A 15,508-nucleotide genomic window follows, 5' to 3' on the forward strand; every position below is an offset into this window, starting at 1 on the left:
CAACAGAGTAAGACCCTATCTCTAAAAAATTTTAAAAAATTTTTTAAAAAGAAAAATTAGCAGTAAAATGGGAAATAATCATAAAAGAGTAACAATACAAAGTGAAAAGAATAACAATACAAATTATGCAGTTTTTCTGTTTTAAACTATATAGAAACATTGAAGGAAATACACAGAATTGTGTATTGGCCATTAGTTAACTTCTAGGTAATATGATTTTGAGTAATTTTGTATTTTATAATTATCTGTTGAAAAAATAGTTTCGTAAAAGTGACAGTGTGACCTCATGGTAAAAAGCCAGGATGTAGTTAATTAGTGAATTCAGAATTCTGAGAATAGCGTAATCAGTGAGAGTATGGTATTGGAGAAAGCTCTGGAGATTGTTGGAATTGAACTCTAGGCCCTGTTGAATTTATGTTTGTGATAGTGAGGGTGCTGTGGGAATGCATTCTATGTAGTAGGAAGTATGCAGGTCAGAAGAATAGTACTGGAACTGCAGCAGTGTAGGAGAGACTTAAAATGGATGCCTGATTAGTGTATCTGTAAGGCTGATAGGGCCAGCTGTGGTAATCTTTGAAAGTCTATATTGGTGGTGCTGCATATCTGTGATGTATTTAACGTTTTCAACAAAATTAGTGTTATTTGTTTGCTTTGGGGAGAGGTGATAGGATATAAGGATCAAGAGCACGGGCTTTGGTTTCAGACTAAGTTAAAAATCTGGCTCTATCGCGTATTATACATGTGACCTTGGGCAGGCTACTTAATACTCTGTGTTCCCAGTTGTCACATCCATAAAACCGAGATGGTAATAAAATGTACTCCATAGGGTTGTTGTGAAGATTAAATGCAGTGTATTGTACTTACTTGTATTACACCGTGCTTGGTGCGGGACCTGGCATTTGGTAAATATTCAACAAATGTTTGTGCTATCATTGTTGGAAAGAGAAAAGTTAGGATATAGGGACAATAAGTTTGAACCTTTTTTTTTTTTTTTTTTTGAGACAGAGCCTTGCTCTGTTGCCTAGGCTGGAGTGCAGTGCCACAATCTCGGCTCCCTGTAACCTCCGCCTCCTGGGTTCAAGTGATTCTCCTGCCTCAGCCTCCCAAGTAGCTGGGACCATAGGTGCATGCCACCACACCCAGCTAATTTTTTGTATTTTTAGTAGAGATGGGGTTTCACCGTGTTAGCCAGGATGGTCTTGATCTCCTGACCTCATGATCTCCCTGCCTTGGCCTCCCAAAGTGCTGAGATTACAGGCATGAGCCACCGTGCCCATCCTAAACCTCTTAAAAAAATTCAAAATGAGGGTGAGAACTTGCATCTAACTATAAAGCACAAACTTTTCATCTTTCTCAATGTTTTTCTTAACCCATGTGTTTACATTGTTTCCCTATATTGCCTTTTCCTTTTCTATTTTACAAAGCTCTTTTTGAGAACCATCGAAACTATATTCCTTATAGTTATTAATGTGTTCCTATTTCAGACCCAAAATACAACAGCTTCCTTTCTTGCAAACAGGAAATATTCTATTTCTTATATCTTTTAGATGAATCAGCTTTAGATAAAATAATAGAAAGGTGCCTCAGGGATGATGATCATGGCTTGATGGAAGAATCCCAGCAATATTGTGGCAGCTCAGAGGAGGATCACGGTAATCAGGGAAATTCAAAAGGAAGAGTCGCACAAAACAAAACTCTTGGGAGTGGCAGTAGGGGTAAGAAATTTGACCCAGATAAAAGCCCCTTTGGACATAATTTCAAAGAAACTTCAGACTTAATTAAACATCTGAGAGTCTACTTGAGGAAGAAATCTCGGAGGTATAATGAAAGCAAGAAACCCTTCAGTTTTCATTCAGACCTTGTTCTGAACCGCAAGGAGAAAACCGCCGGAGAAAAGTCACGGAAATCTAATGATGGTGGGAAAGTCCTGAGTCACTCTTCAGCTCTTACTGAACATCAGAAACGTCAGAAGATTCATTTGGGGGATAGGTCCCAAAAATGCAGTAAGTGTGGGATAATCTTTATTAGAAGATCAACTCTTTCTAGGAGAAAAACCCCTATGTGTGAGAAATGTCGGAAAGATTCATGTCAAGAAGCAGCCTTAAATAAAGATGAGGGAAATGAGAGTGGAGAAAAAACTCATAAATGTAGTAAGTGTGGAAAAGCCTTTGGCTATAGCGCCTCACTCACCAAACATCGGAGAATTCACACTGGAGAAAAACCCTATATGTGTAATGAATGTGGAAAAGCTTTTAGTGATAGTTCATCGCTCACACCACATCATAGAACTCATAGTGGAGAGAAACCCTTCAAATGTGATGACTGTGGGAAAGGTTTCACCCTAAGTGCTCACCTCATTAAACATCAGAGAATTCATACTGGAGAAAAACCTTATAAATGTAAAGACTGTGGGAGACCCTTTAGTGACAGTTCATCTCTTATTCAACATCAGCGAATTCATACTGGAGAAAAACCCTATACATGTAGCAATTGTGGAAAATCCTTCAGTCATAGCTCATCCCTTTCCAAACATCAGAGAATTCATACTGGAGAGAAACCCTATAAATGTGGCGAATGTGGAAAAGCCTTTAGGCAGAATTCATGCCTTACCCGGCATCAGAGAATTCACACTGGAGAAAAACCATATTTGTGTAATGATTGCGGAATGACTTTTAGCCATTTTACGTCTGTGATTTATCATCAAAGACTTCATTCAGGAGAAAAACCCTACAAATGTAACCAGTGTGAGAAAGCCTTCCCAACCCATTCACTGCTAAGTCGTCATCAGAGAATTCATACTGGTGTAAAACCTTATAAATGTAAAGAATGTGGGAAGTCCTTCAGTCAGAGTTCATCTCTTAATGAGCACCACCGAATTCATACAGGAGAGAAACCCTATGAGTGTAACTATTGTGGTGCAACCTTTAGTCGAAGCTCAATCCTTGTAGAACACCTAAAAATTCATACCGGAAGGAGAGAATATGAATGTAACGAATGTGAGAAGACATTTAAAAGTAATTCAGGCCTCATTAGACATCGGGGATTTCACTCTGCAGAGTAATCCTGGAACTACATTAAAGTGGGGGGAATTTAATTCAAATTGTCAGTTACTGAAACCCTGGGATGTAAACTTACAGTATTGATCAGTAGCTGCAGCTTTCGTAAATTGGCAGTTAGGAAAAATATCCTTTTGCCCATTCATCCCTCTTCTTTTCAAGGATGGCAACGACTGGTAAACAGTAATTAGTTGGTAAAGTCACTGGAAAGGGAAGAATGCAAAATGATTCTGAGGCCAGACGAATTGGAAAAGCTCTTTTCTTCAGGGGATTTCTCTCTGATTTCTTCTACTACCATGTAGTGTGATGGAGAGAACTTGACTGCAGTCACATAACTTGGATTCTGTCCCAGTTTGCCAACCAACTTGCTGTATACACCTTGGACAAGTCATTTGACCTTTCAGAATTTTATTTTCGTCACCAGCAGAATGAAGGGATGGGATTAATGATTTTTGCCTTTTTTGGTTTTTTAGTTTTTTATTGGTATCCTGATAATCTCTGAAGCTGTGGACATAAGTTATTTTTTTTTATTTGTCATTACTTTCAAGTTTCTCTAGTAAAAAATACAATACCACTATTCAGGATGCTGGACTTCTTTTCTTTTTTTTTTCTTTTTTTTTTTTCAATTTTTCTTTTTTGGGATGGAGTCTCACTATGTTGCCCAGACTGGTCTTGAACTCCTGGGCTCAAGTGATCCTTCCATCTCACTTTCCTGAGTAGCTGACATTACGGGTACACTCCATCAAGCCTGGTTCCTAGGATGCTGGACTTCTAGCTTAGTGAGAATGCAGTATACTTTTTGAAAACTTCGTGCAGGAATCCCTCAAATGCTGTAACTAGGAATGGGTCAGTGAAGTTCAAACGACTTTTCCTTGAGGGAGTATTTTAATCGGACAAGGGAACTCTTTTTCTTTTGGGCATTGGCCAACAGGACTGAGAAGCCAGAGAGCTTGCACCTGAGCCATCTCAGCCGTGAGAGTAACAGTCCTAGGAAAATAGATGGGGGCTGGGGGTAAGGAAATGTGCTGAAGACAGAGCTATTCTGGATGGATTTTGGTTTGCAAAAATTCTACTTTAAAACAATTTTGCCTGTAGCAAGTACATTTTTTTGCAATTGGAGTGTAAACATTCTGTGTGGCAACAGTTAAAAGCTGTTATAACAATTTGCTTGGGTGTGTGTGCATGTGTGTGTGTGTGTGTGTGTGTGTATACATTGTTGCCACTATCTAAAATTAGGGCATTTCATACTAAAAACAAAGCTTGTCTTAAAAAAAATTATAAGGGCTAACAACACTGGGCTTTTATTTATGTAAAGCACTCAGCTGGTCCTGGGTAGCAGCTGCCACCTTTTGATGGGGAATCAACTTTCTGACTTAGCTAGTTCTCTCATGTATGTCACCTGACTTTCCCACTGTATGAATGTTCTATTATAACCCCTACCATTTGGAGAATAGATACCCTAAAATCTAAAGAGACTGCACTGATAGCAAGTAAAGTTCAGGGAATGAATGTAGAATTGATACAGAAAAAATTTTCAGTTAAGTTTTCTTTTGTGAAATTAGACCTCAGAGGAATGGAATATACGGGTATTGGTGGATTATTCCTTATAAATTTCATTGGTGGAGTCTGAATAATAATTTCCAACTGAAAAAGGAACTTAAGGCCCTGAATGAGTGAGGTTTTGGCTTCAGGTCATAGGGTTCTGGAGGAACCCCATGGACTCAACAGTGGTCTAGAAATAAGTTCCTAAAGTTGAAATTGTGGGCACCTCCTATAAAAAGAGAGCTAAACCAGAAAACTCTTCACTTATGGAAGTAAAGCGATCCTTAATGCTAATCTTAGACTCAGGAACATTTACTGTGACTAATGTATGTAGGTGTGAAATGCTACCTCTGGGAGAAGGTTTTTGGTGCCTCCCCAACCCCAAGCCTGCAGTTTAAATATTGCCGTGTGATAAATTGGTCCGCATAGTTATTGCTAAGCAGACCAACGAATCACATCCTAGCCATGAAAGGAATGTTTATTATGAGAATCATTCATAATGGTTTTAAGTTTTTTTCTGAAAAGACAGAAAACTTGTTGTAAGTTTTGTTTTCTGAAAAATATAATTTATAGAAAGTTGAAGAAATAACGTAAAAGTCTTCAGAAGAGGCTTGTTCCAAGATGATTACTCTTAGACTCCCTAACATTCATAACAATGTTTTATCCCAGTATCCATTGGGAATCTGGAGTATAAACTTTTTTTTTAAAGGAATTTATTGAGGTACAAATTACATATCATTAAAACCATTTCAAGTGTACAATTCAGTGAGTTTTAGTAAATATGCTGAGTTGTGCAACCATTACCATAATCCATTTTTTAGAACATCATCCCAGCAAGATCCGTTATTCCAGTTTACAGTTAATCTCCCGTCCAACCTCTAATCCCAGGCACCCACTACTCAGTCGACTTTGTGTCTCTAGAGTTGTCTTTTTCTGTACATTTTATGTTATATGTGATCTTTCTGTGTTTTTTTCATTAATGTGTTTTAAGTTCATCCATGTTGTAACATACTAGTACTTTATTCCTTTTTATCATAAATAATATTACATTATGTGGATGCTTCGTGCATTCACTAGTTGAAGAACATTTGAGGTTTTTCCAGTTTTTGCCTGTTAGGAATAATGCTGCTTTGAACATTGGTATGCAAGTGTTTTGAACGTTAGTGTACAAGTCTTTGTGTGGACATGTTTTCATTTTTCTTAGGCAGATGCCTGAGGGGAGTTGCTAGGTCATACGGTAAATTTTCATTTAACTTTTTTAGGAAACTGCCAAATTGTTTTCCAAAGTGACCGCATTATTTTACATTCTGACTAGTAATGTGTGGGGCTTCCCATTTCTCTACAGTCTTGCCAGTCATTGTTGTCTGTTTTTTAAAAATTATGCCCATCCTAGCGTTTGAAATGATATTCCTTTGTGGTTTTAACTTTGATTTTCCTGATGGCGAATAATGTCAAAGCATCTTTTATGTGCTCTTCAGCCATTCATGTATCTTAGTGAAATGTTTATTCAGATTTTTTGTCCATTTAAAATTGGAGTTTGCTGATACTGTGTTGTAGTCCTTTTTATTCTGGATATAAGTCCTTTATCCAATATGAACTTTCTAAATACCATGTACTAGCTACAGAGAGCAGCCCAAACTCTGTTGGATAATATTTATCAAAGTCTTGATTTCAGTAGTTAAGTCTGTATAATTGCCTGCAGGACATTCAGTCTGGCCCATCACCCAAATATTTAAATTCACTTTTGGATTAAGTCAGATTATCAAAAGGCTTTAAACGTCTTTTGATTCATTATAGGATTGCTTTTATGAAGAGCACTGTGACACATTTTACTTTAAAATGAAGTCCTTGCTTTAAATAATGTTTCCTCTTAATGAGCGTGTATAAATTTTTTTCATGTCACAGGACAAGGCAAGGTTTTGGTCAATAAAGTCATTTTATTTATTTTAGAATTATTTTTTAATGTAGTAAGATACATATAGCTTAAAATGAACCATTTAAACACTTTTTGGTTATACAGCTCAATAGCATTTAGATAGATGCACATTTTGTGCAGTCATCACCACTATCCATCTCCAGAACTTTTTCATCATCCCAAACTGAAACTCTGTACTCCTTAAACAGTAACTCCCCATTTTCTCCTCCTCAGGCTCCTGGTAACCACTGTTCTACTTCCTGTCTGTACAAATTTGACTGTTCTAATTACTTGGTATGAATGGAATCATACAATATTTGCCCTGTTGTGTTTGGCTTATTCCACTTAGCATTATGTTTTCAAGGTTCGGCCGTGTTGTAGCACATATCAGAATTTAATTCCTTTTTAAGGCTGAATAATATTCCATTTTACTTGTATACCACATTTTGTTTATCCTTTTATCTGCCAGTGAACATTTAAGTTGTTTGCACCATTTTGGCTATCAAGAATAACATTGCTATAATCAGTGGTGCTTTCTGTTCTTTTAAGTATATGCCTAGAAATAGAATTGCTGGATCTTATGATGATTCTATATTTAACTTCTTGAGGAAGTGCAACTACACTATTTTAAATTCCCACCAGCTATGTACAAGGGTTTCAGTATCCCCGCCCTTGCTAACACTTATTTTCTATTTCTTTTTTATAATAGACATCCTAATGGGTTTGAAGTGGCATCTTATTCTAGTTTTGTTTTGCATTTCCCTAGTGATTAGTGATGTTAACTGTCTTTTTATGTGCTTATTGACCATTTGTATCTCTTCTTTGGAGAAATGTTTATTGAAGTCCTTTGCCCATTTTTTAATTGGTTTTGTTGGCGTTGTTGTTTAGTTGTAGAAGTTCTTAATATATCCAGAATATATAAAGAACTTTTCAGATAAATGATTTGCAAATACTTTCTTCCATTCTGTGTGGGTTGCCTTTTCATTCTATTCCTAATGCCCTTTGAAAGAAGGTTTTAATTTTGGTGAAGTTTAATTTTTCTATTTTTTCTTTTGTTTCCTGTGCTTTTCTGGTCATACCCAAGAAACCATGGCCAAATCCAATGTCATGAAGCTTTTCTCCTATTCTAGGAGTTTTATAGTTTCAGGTCTTATGTTTAAGTCTTTTAACCATTTTGATTTTTATGTATGGTAAAGGGTCCATCTTCATTCTTTTGCATGCGAATATCCAGTTTTCCCAGCCCCATCTGTTGAAGAGACTATCCTTTCCACATCATGTATTCTTTGCACTCTTGTCAAAGATCATTTGACCATATACATGCATGTTTATTTCTGGCTGTCTGCTCTGTTTCTTTGGTCTATATGTTTGTCTTTATGCCAGTACCATGCTATTTTGATTACTCCAGTAATGTTTTGTAATCAGGATTACACTACGTTTCCTGTAGTATGTTTTTGAAATGAGGAAGTGTGAGGCCTCCAGCTTTGTTCTTTCCCAAATTGTTTTGGCTATTTGGGGGTCCTTAAGATTTCAAATGAATTTTAGGATGGTTTGTTTGTTTTTGTGGAAAATGGCATGAAGATTGGGCTTGCATTGAATTTGTAGATCGCTTTGGGTAATGTGGACATACTAACAATAACAAACATTACAGTCTGTGAACCCCAGGTGTCTTTCCATGTATTTGTGCCGTCTTTAATTTTTTCAGCAATGTGTTACAGTTGTCATTGTACAAGTCTTTTGCCTCCTTGGTCAAGTTTATTCTTGAGTATTTTATGTTTTTGATGCTGTTGTAAATGGGTCTTTGTTAGTGAAGCATAACTGAGTTTTGAGTGTTGATTTTGTATCTTGCAACTTTGCTGAATTTGTTTATTAGTCATAATAGTTTCTTGTGAAATTTTTGGGATTTTTAAATATAAGATTATGGCATCTGCAAATAGATAATTTTTCCTTCTTCCTAATTTGGATGGCTTTAACTTGCCAATGGCTCTAGCTAGGACTTCCAGTACTGTGTTGAATACAAGTAGCAAAAGCAGGCATCTGTGCCTTTTCCTGAAATGCTTTCTATTTTATATCATTCCGTATGATGTTAGCTGTGGTCTTTTCATATTTGACCTTTATTATGTTAAGGTAATTTCCTTTTATTGATAAATTCTTGTTTGAAGGACAGTTTTGCTGTATATAGAATTCTCAGTTGACAGTTTTTTTTTTTTTCTTTCTGCATTAAGAGTATAACAACGCCACAGCCTTCTGGCTTCCAAGGTTTTTGATGAGCAATCAACAGTCTCACTGAGGATTTCTTTTATGTGATGATTTGCTTCTCTCTTGATGCTTTTGAGATTCTCCTTTTGTCTTTGGATTTCAGCAGCTTGATTATAACTTGTCTTGGTGTCTCTGTGGGGTGAGGGTAGGAGTCAATTGCAGTGCTTGTTGCCATAGTTCAGAACCTGCACCACAAAGACCCTTCCAGTTCTGTAGAGTGGTTTATTGCTTTATTATCAGTGCAATAGAGAGTCACTGAGTCACTGGAGGTTCTCTGTGTGTGTGAGTGTATAAATAAAGATTTAATTTTGTTTTGCTCTTTTGTTTTCCCCTCGGAATAGTTTATCAGATGAGGAATTTCTTGATCACTGGGGAGAAATATCTTACAATTCTGAAAACACACTGTCAAAATGCTTTTCATAAAATGTAGCACATTTTAGGGTTTCTCCCTTGTGTGGAAATGTTAGTGTCTATAAAGGTCTGAACTAAGAAAGCTTCTCTCAAGCCACAACACATGTGAGGTTCCTCTGCTGAATGAATCTTTTGGTGCTCAGTAAGTTGTGATTTCCAAGCAAAGTGTTTTTCACCCTGAGAAATTGGTGAGGTATCTTTCTCTCAGAGTCTTTTTTATGAAGTCTGATGTTGAGAGGTTCTTCCAGGTTGGAGTTCTCAGGTCTGTCTCCCTTGTAGATTATCAGAGTGGGTCGATAATCTACAAGCTTTGCTAAACCTACCTGTAGCTCTTCTGGGGCAGCGGTCGTGGTGGTGGTGGCAGCGGCAGCAGGGTTCCCCATTGATTTTCTAAATGTTTGTAGTCCTTTTGTAAAGTGGACCCTTGCCTTCTAAGGTAATGGTGAATGATACATATTCCCTTCATTTTTCTGCTTTGAAGCTTCAATCTTCTTCATTTTCTCTTTTGATCTGTCAACACAATCAGAACATTTAGCTCTTTGAGCATCTTTAAGGCAGTTGCTTTAAAGTCTGTCTAGTGAGTCAATGTTTGGTCTTCCTCATGTCCATTTTTTGTTGGTTTATTTTGTGCCTTTGAATGGTCAATACTTGTTTCTTTGTATGCATCGTGATTGTTTTTGTTGACAGCTAGACATTTGAATTTTATAATGTGGCAACTCTGGAAATAAGATTATTCCTTTTTCCCCAGGGTTTATTTTTTGTTGTTGTTTTTTGTGTTGTGTGTTTTTTGTTTTCGTTTTTGTTTTACTGTCATAGGCTGTCTCTGTGCTAGGGATCAGCCTGTGTTGAATGCCTAAAGTTGTCTCAATTCTTTACAGAGCCTGCGTTTTTCCCTGGGCGGGAGCAATGGCTTTCTGAATTCACCTAGATACACAGTTTTTTGAATGTCCAGAAAAACAGGTTTCATCCCTTTTTTCTCCTGGAAGCCACTTTAGCCAGTTGGGGGTTGGGAGAATGGTAGCTTGCTTCTTTGTCTGCTCTTTCTCTGTGATCAGAAGTAGATATCTGCAATCAGAACCCTGATATTTGGAGGAAGTGGCTATTATTGTCCACCCTGGCTGCAGCAAGCTGACCCAGAAATGTGGGGTTGTGTCTCCACAGCTGCCTGCCATGGAGTGGGTGGGGATGGGTAGCTGCTACTTCACTGAAGGCTGAAATCCACCAATGTTAACTGCAATTTACCACTCAGAATTTCCCCTAGAAGCTACAAGTGTTCAGATGGACTCATGTGCTCCCAAAATAATCACTTTAGGAACTTTCTGCCGATGTAATTATTATCTAGGTGGAGAGGTGGATTCCTGGGCCACTCTATCCATGTCTTTGATTTTTCCTGCTTTCTTGAAGATTTCTTCAACTTTATCTTCCAGCTCTACTATTAAATGTTGTGAATGTTTTTATCTCTGCTGTCATATTTTTATTTCCAAGTGCATTATCTGATTCTTTCTTCCTTTTTTCTAATTGGTTTTGTTTCATAGGTGAAATATTTTTTCTCTGAGCATGTTAATTATAGTGTCTTTCTGTGTTATTCTGCTCCCTGCATTATCCCTGTTTCCTTTGAGTTGTTTTCACCTGTTTTCTGTCTCTCACACTGGAGGCTTTCCTGAAGCCTCTGATGATCTTTGACTATTTATATTTAAGAGCAGGGCTCTAAAAAGCTGATTGGAAGGTGTTTTAGGTACTTCAGCACCATCCAACAGTAATATAATGTGAGCCACATACATAATTTCAAATTTTCTAGTAGCCACTTTTAGAAAATAAAACAGGTAAAATTAAAAATGTATTTTACTTCACCCAATATATCCATAATATTATTTCATCATGTAATCAATGTAAAAAAGTATTGAGACATTTTGTTTTTTGCACTATTTTTGAAATCTGGTATGTAATGTGTTAATCTACACACAAAATTTTCATTTGTAATACATAACTCACATTTAGATTTATAAAACGTAGAGTTGATAAGTAGATTCACATAGTTCTTCCAAACATACTTTGTTGTTGTTCTAAATATACTTAATTTTCCAATAACTGAATCAAGTATCCAGTTTTTGTTTTTTTTTTTTTTTTTTTTTTTTTGAGATGGAGTCTCACTCTGTTGCCCAGGCTGGAGTGCAGTGGCGCAATCTTGGTCCACTGCAACCTCCGCCTCCTGGGTTCCAGCAATTCTCCTGCTTCAGCCTCCCCAGTAGCTGAGATTACTGGTGCACACTGCCACGCCTGGCTAATTATTTTAGTAGAGGCGGGGTTTCACTGTGTTGCCCAGGCTGTTCTCCAACTCCTAAGCCCAGGCAATCTGCCTGTCTCGGCCTCCCAAAGTGCCGGGATTACAGGTGTGAACCGCCACACACAACCCCAATTTTTGTTTAAAATTTGCATCCACATTAACAAAACTTTTATTAGAAAAATTCATTTAATATCTAGGCAAAATTATATCACTTTCAAAACTTTTTAAGTAAATTCAGTAACATATCAATTCAGTTTATTAGCATCAAATTTGATGAAGCAGTGCATAAATGGAAACAAAACAGTTTATCAATACAATATATCATTCTTCAGATTTTGCTTATTTTTTGCAGCCATTTATTACATTTAAAATTTTGTGCATATTGTCTCATTTGAAAAATGTGAGTTATTCTGTTTTATTTGTATTATGAAATGTTTCTATTGTAAATAAATTCTTTTACCTGTCTAGCCAGGTCACAAGTTTTTCCCATTTTAGGAGCTTCAAATTTAGCTTGTTCATATGCAGCGTGATATTAGGGAGAAAATGTGAATCACAGTGCTACTTTTTGTCTTTGATTGAATATTTGGTAAGCATTTCTTTTGTTTCAAGGAAATCTTGAATTGGATTTTCTAGTACAGGAAATCCTTATAAAATTCTTTTGTAAGTCATCCAGGTAACATTGGTAAAGAAACAAGATCATTAGATACATTGTCTTTTTTTTTCAGAAGTTTCATAAACTGTCAACATTCTATAGCTTTTGTGCATATGTACTGAAGAATTATAACACATGTATCCGTGACTCGTTTCTTGGAGTCTGCTTCAGAAAATTGAACACAAATATTTTCAGTATGTATCATGCAATAGAATAGAGCAATGAGGGAAAAGTTATCCTCTTGCTTTAAAATTCCAACATGGATGGTCTTTTGACTTAACTTAGCTGGAGTTCCATCCTTGTGATAGAAACTAACTTTTCTGTCTCTAACTGAAATTCTTTGACAGATGGAAGATTGTCAAAAATATCTGCCATGAGTTTGAGCCTTTAGGCAATGAATTCACATTTCATTGCCTTTACATGAATCGACATTGTAAATTTGGAGGTTCTTTGAGACAGAATATACCCAGAGTTTTCTTTGGGCAGTGTCTTGTATCAAACAGTTCATCTAAGGCTAAAGAAAAATACTTGAAATTTTTCAAGATTTGAATTAATTGGTCTTTATTATTAAAATATAAATATTCTATTAGCAAAAATATATTCTGTTCATGTATATCCAAGAGCAAAATTGTTTAATGGTTTCATTGACGTTTTCAGTTTTCATGAATGTCTTTTAAGGTCTTTTCCTCATAATTTTCTAAATACGATAAAGTGATAATTTCTTCATCTCTCCATCTAAGGTTCTTTGTAGATGCATGTGTAAGAAGCTATTTTATAGCTTGCCAGGTTTACAAACTCAGACCCTTTTAAAAGTTGTTTAAATTGTTTTGTTAGAAATTTCACTCGCAGTTCATATGAGTAATTTTGTGTATTCTTTTTTGACTTACACTCACTAAATGGTTGCTAAAAATTACATGTCTTAAATATTGTCTTAAGTATTATCTACTATGTATCTTTAACACTTTTGAATAGAACAAACAGCTTTTCCATTTTGCTCTGCTGCAGTAAATTGCAATTGCCATTCATCATTAAATGTGCACTATACTGTCTCTAGTCTTCTTGACTATGCCAGTTGTAGTACCAGCTTCTGTATCTGCACTGAATTCTGCCTCAGTAATATGCCTTTGTTTAAAATTTAAATATTTTTTCATTTTTTTAACCTAGAAAATAATTATAATGAAAATATTAAGTATCTCATTTTAGGATTCTGATTTACATAGGTATCACTGTAACTTGTGCTGTTTGCATAGGTATACTCTATCTTGTGCTATCTGCATAAAATATCCAAGTAAACACATTGTGATTTTACATCCGTGCATAGAAAAAAAAATCATCTGAACTCAAATCAATCTGTTGATACTGACTAGATTGGTGACGTGTTTATGTGTAACACTAGTGATAATGCACGTTCCTGTACAAGCATTATAATACAACAGTGTCCTATGCAATGCAGTGGTTAAAGTGAATTGTAGTTCTATCAAAATAAAGATACGTTTAGTGGAAAAGTATTTGACTCTGCTTCTGTTTTTAAAATTGTGAAATGTGGCACTGTGTGGATTTCCATTTCTCACTAGCCTCAAGTGACTACCATATTAAGTTGCTCTACGCAATCCTAGCCACAGAGAACCCAACAAATTGGAGTAGCTTAACTGAATGAAAGTTTATTCCCCAGGGGTCTTTCCAGCATTTTGTTGCTTTCCCATATTTTGTAGTCATGCTGTGTGGAGCACATAACTTCCAACGTCCCAGAGGCAGGGAAAGGAAGAACTGGAGCATTGTGCAGTGTTTTTAAGCACTAGCCTAGAAACAGCTGAGAACCACAGGTTTCAAACTCGGTGCCAAGGTTTCCCATTCCACTCTAGAGATCTCACACAGGCTTCCCAGGATATTTTAAAATCTGGAGATTATCACAACTACAACTATTGACATCACAAACTACTACTATTATGTTATTGGAACTAACTACTTAGCAAATGGAATTGATAGTTAATGGGTTTTTTGTTTGTTTGCCTGGGAGCATTGTGGAAAAATGGCCATGGTACTACAGATCCTGTAACTAAGAAAGTCAACCTCTGTCTTAGAAGTCACTTCTACTCTTCCGTTGCCCAGAGATCAATCATATAACCCTAACCTAACTTAAAGGGAGGCTTGAAATACAGCTTTCCCCTCATTGTGGTGAGCACATAGATTATTTCTACCACAGTCTGTTCTTTCGGTCACCAAACTCTTTCTTCCCACACTTAATGCATACAGTAGCCCCCTTATCCATGGGGGATATGCTCCAAGACCTCGAGTGGATGCCTGCAACCTCAGATAGTACCAAACCCTGTATGTTCTATGTTTTGTCAGTCTGATAACCCAAGAAGGCTACTAAGTGACTAACAGACAGGTAGTGTAGATGACATGGATATGCTGGACAAAGGGATAATTTGTGTCCTAGGAGGCACGGAGCAGGATGGCAAGAGGTTTCATCAGGCTACTCAGAACATACTGGAATTTTTTATTTCTGGAATTTTCTATTTAAAATTTTGGGGCCAAGATTGAGGGTAACTGAAACCACGGAAAGTGAAACTTTGAATAAGGGGAGACCACTGTATTTTACCCAAGGGAGACAATCCAAAGTCTAATCTGCTCAGGGTCTACAACTGAAGTCCAGGGTCTTTGAGTTAGATGCTTTGAGTGTGACCTACTTTTTGCCTTTGGGACCCTAAATGTCAGTGCCTGTTAATTTTTCTTTGAGAAGTGTAATTTCTCCAGAGGTCTGCTCTTTAATTTCCCCAGAGAAGGATGTTCTAGTCAGCATGGGGGATATAAGCCTGGCTACCATTACTGGCGAGCAGGCAGAGGCACGCCACATGGTGGGATAGGAGTTGGAGTTCATCCCCTTTTATTCAGACTTCCACTTAGTATCCTGTTTTTAGTCTTCTATCTTATTTCCATCCTCCTCCAGGCCCAGGGTACCCAAGTTAATAGCCTATCAAGTTCTATTTGGCAAAAGATAATGCCTCTCATTTCCTGTGGGAATTGTGGTGAATTGATAATCACCTGGCAAAATAAGGTAGGAGTGGCATTTTGAGCTCAAACTGTTCTGTGCACATTTTCAAACTCTTTAGCCTCTGATTTTCTCCCTACTTCCAGAAAACCTGATGCCTCCACCTCCTAAATCTTTCCATATTTCATTAGTACCCCATCAGAAGGCCGTTGTGCTATTTTCTACTGTGCTCTGTTAATAAAATTTTTCCTCTAAACAATATGTGTATTAGTCTGTTCTCACACTGCTATAAGGAACTACCTGAGACTGGGTAATTTATGAAGAAAAGAGGCTTAACTGACTCACAGTTCCGCAGGCTATACAGGAAGCATGGCTGGGAGGCCTCAGGAACTTACAGTCA

General features: G+C 36.9%; 2 protein-coding genes across 8 annotated transcripts in view, besides 2 other annotated features; one reads left to right on the plus strand and one right to left on the minus strand.

Annotated features, from left to right (window-relative positions):
* The window catches only part of ZNF483 (zinc finger protein 483), a 52,958-nt gene that overhangs the window by 14,931 nt on the left and 22,519 nt on the right, over positions 1-15,508 (plus strand). For 5 of the 7 annotated variants that reach the window (XM_017014337.2, XM_017014338.2, XM_047422863.1 and 2 more), the window contains one exon: positions 1,548-15,308. The exons of the other annotated variants lie outside the window; for them this stretch is intronic. In XM_017014337.2, coding sequence (XP_016869826.1) covers positions 1,548-3,061 — 1,514 coding nt within the window. In that variant the 3' untranslated portion in view covers positions 3,062-15,308. Of the gene's footprint in view, positions 1-1,547; positions 15,309-15,508 lie in introns of those variants that run through there. 7 annotated transcript variants of the gene reach the window in all.
* Positions 4,920-5,089: an enhancer, noted in NCBI's record as "experimental_105867 CRE fragment used in MPRA reporter constructs". NCBI's record gives its function as "activates a minimal promoter by MPRAs in K562 erythroleukemia cells, with activity observed for both the introgressed and non-introgressed 9:114307394 variant alleles {active_cell/tissue: K562}" and the evidence as "EXISTENCE:reporter gene assay evidence [ECO:0000049][PMID:34662402]".
* Positions 5,153-5,322: an enhancer, noted in NCBI's record as "experimental_105871 CRE fragment used in MPRA reporter constructs". NCBI's record gives its function as "activates a minimal promoter by MPRAs in K562 erythroleukemia cells, with activity observed for both the introgressed and non-introgressed 9:114307627 variant alleles {active_cell/tissue: K562}" and the evidence as "EXISTENCE:reporter gene assay evidence [ECO:0000049][PMID:34662402]".
* Positions 9,613-15,508, minus strand: part of PTGR1 (prostaglandin reductase 1) — a 49,926-nt gene continuing 44,030 nt past the window's right edge. The window contains exon 10 of the mRNA NM_001146109.2: positions 9,613-9,690. Coding sequence (NP_001139581.1) covers positions 9,664-9,690 — 27 coding nt within the window. The 3' untranslated portion in view covers positions 9,613-9,663. The remainder of the gene's footprint in view (positions 9,691-15,508) is intronic.

This window comes from Homo sapiens, chromosome 9, assembly GCF_000001405.40.
Source record: "Homo sapiens chromosome 9, GRCh38.p14 Primary Assembly".
Classification (NCBI taxonomy): Eukaryota; Metazoa; Chordata; class Mammalia; order Primates; family Hominidae; genus Homo; species Homo sapiens.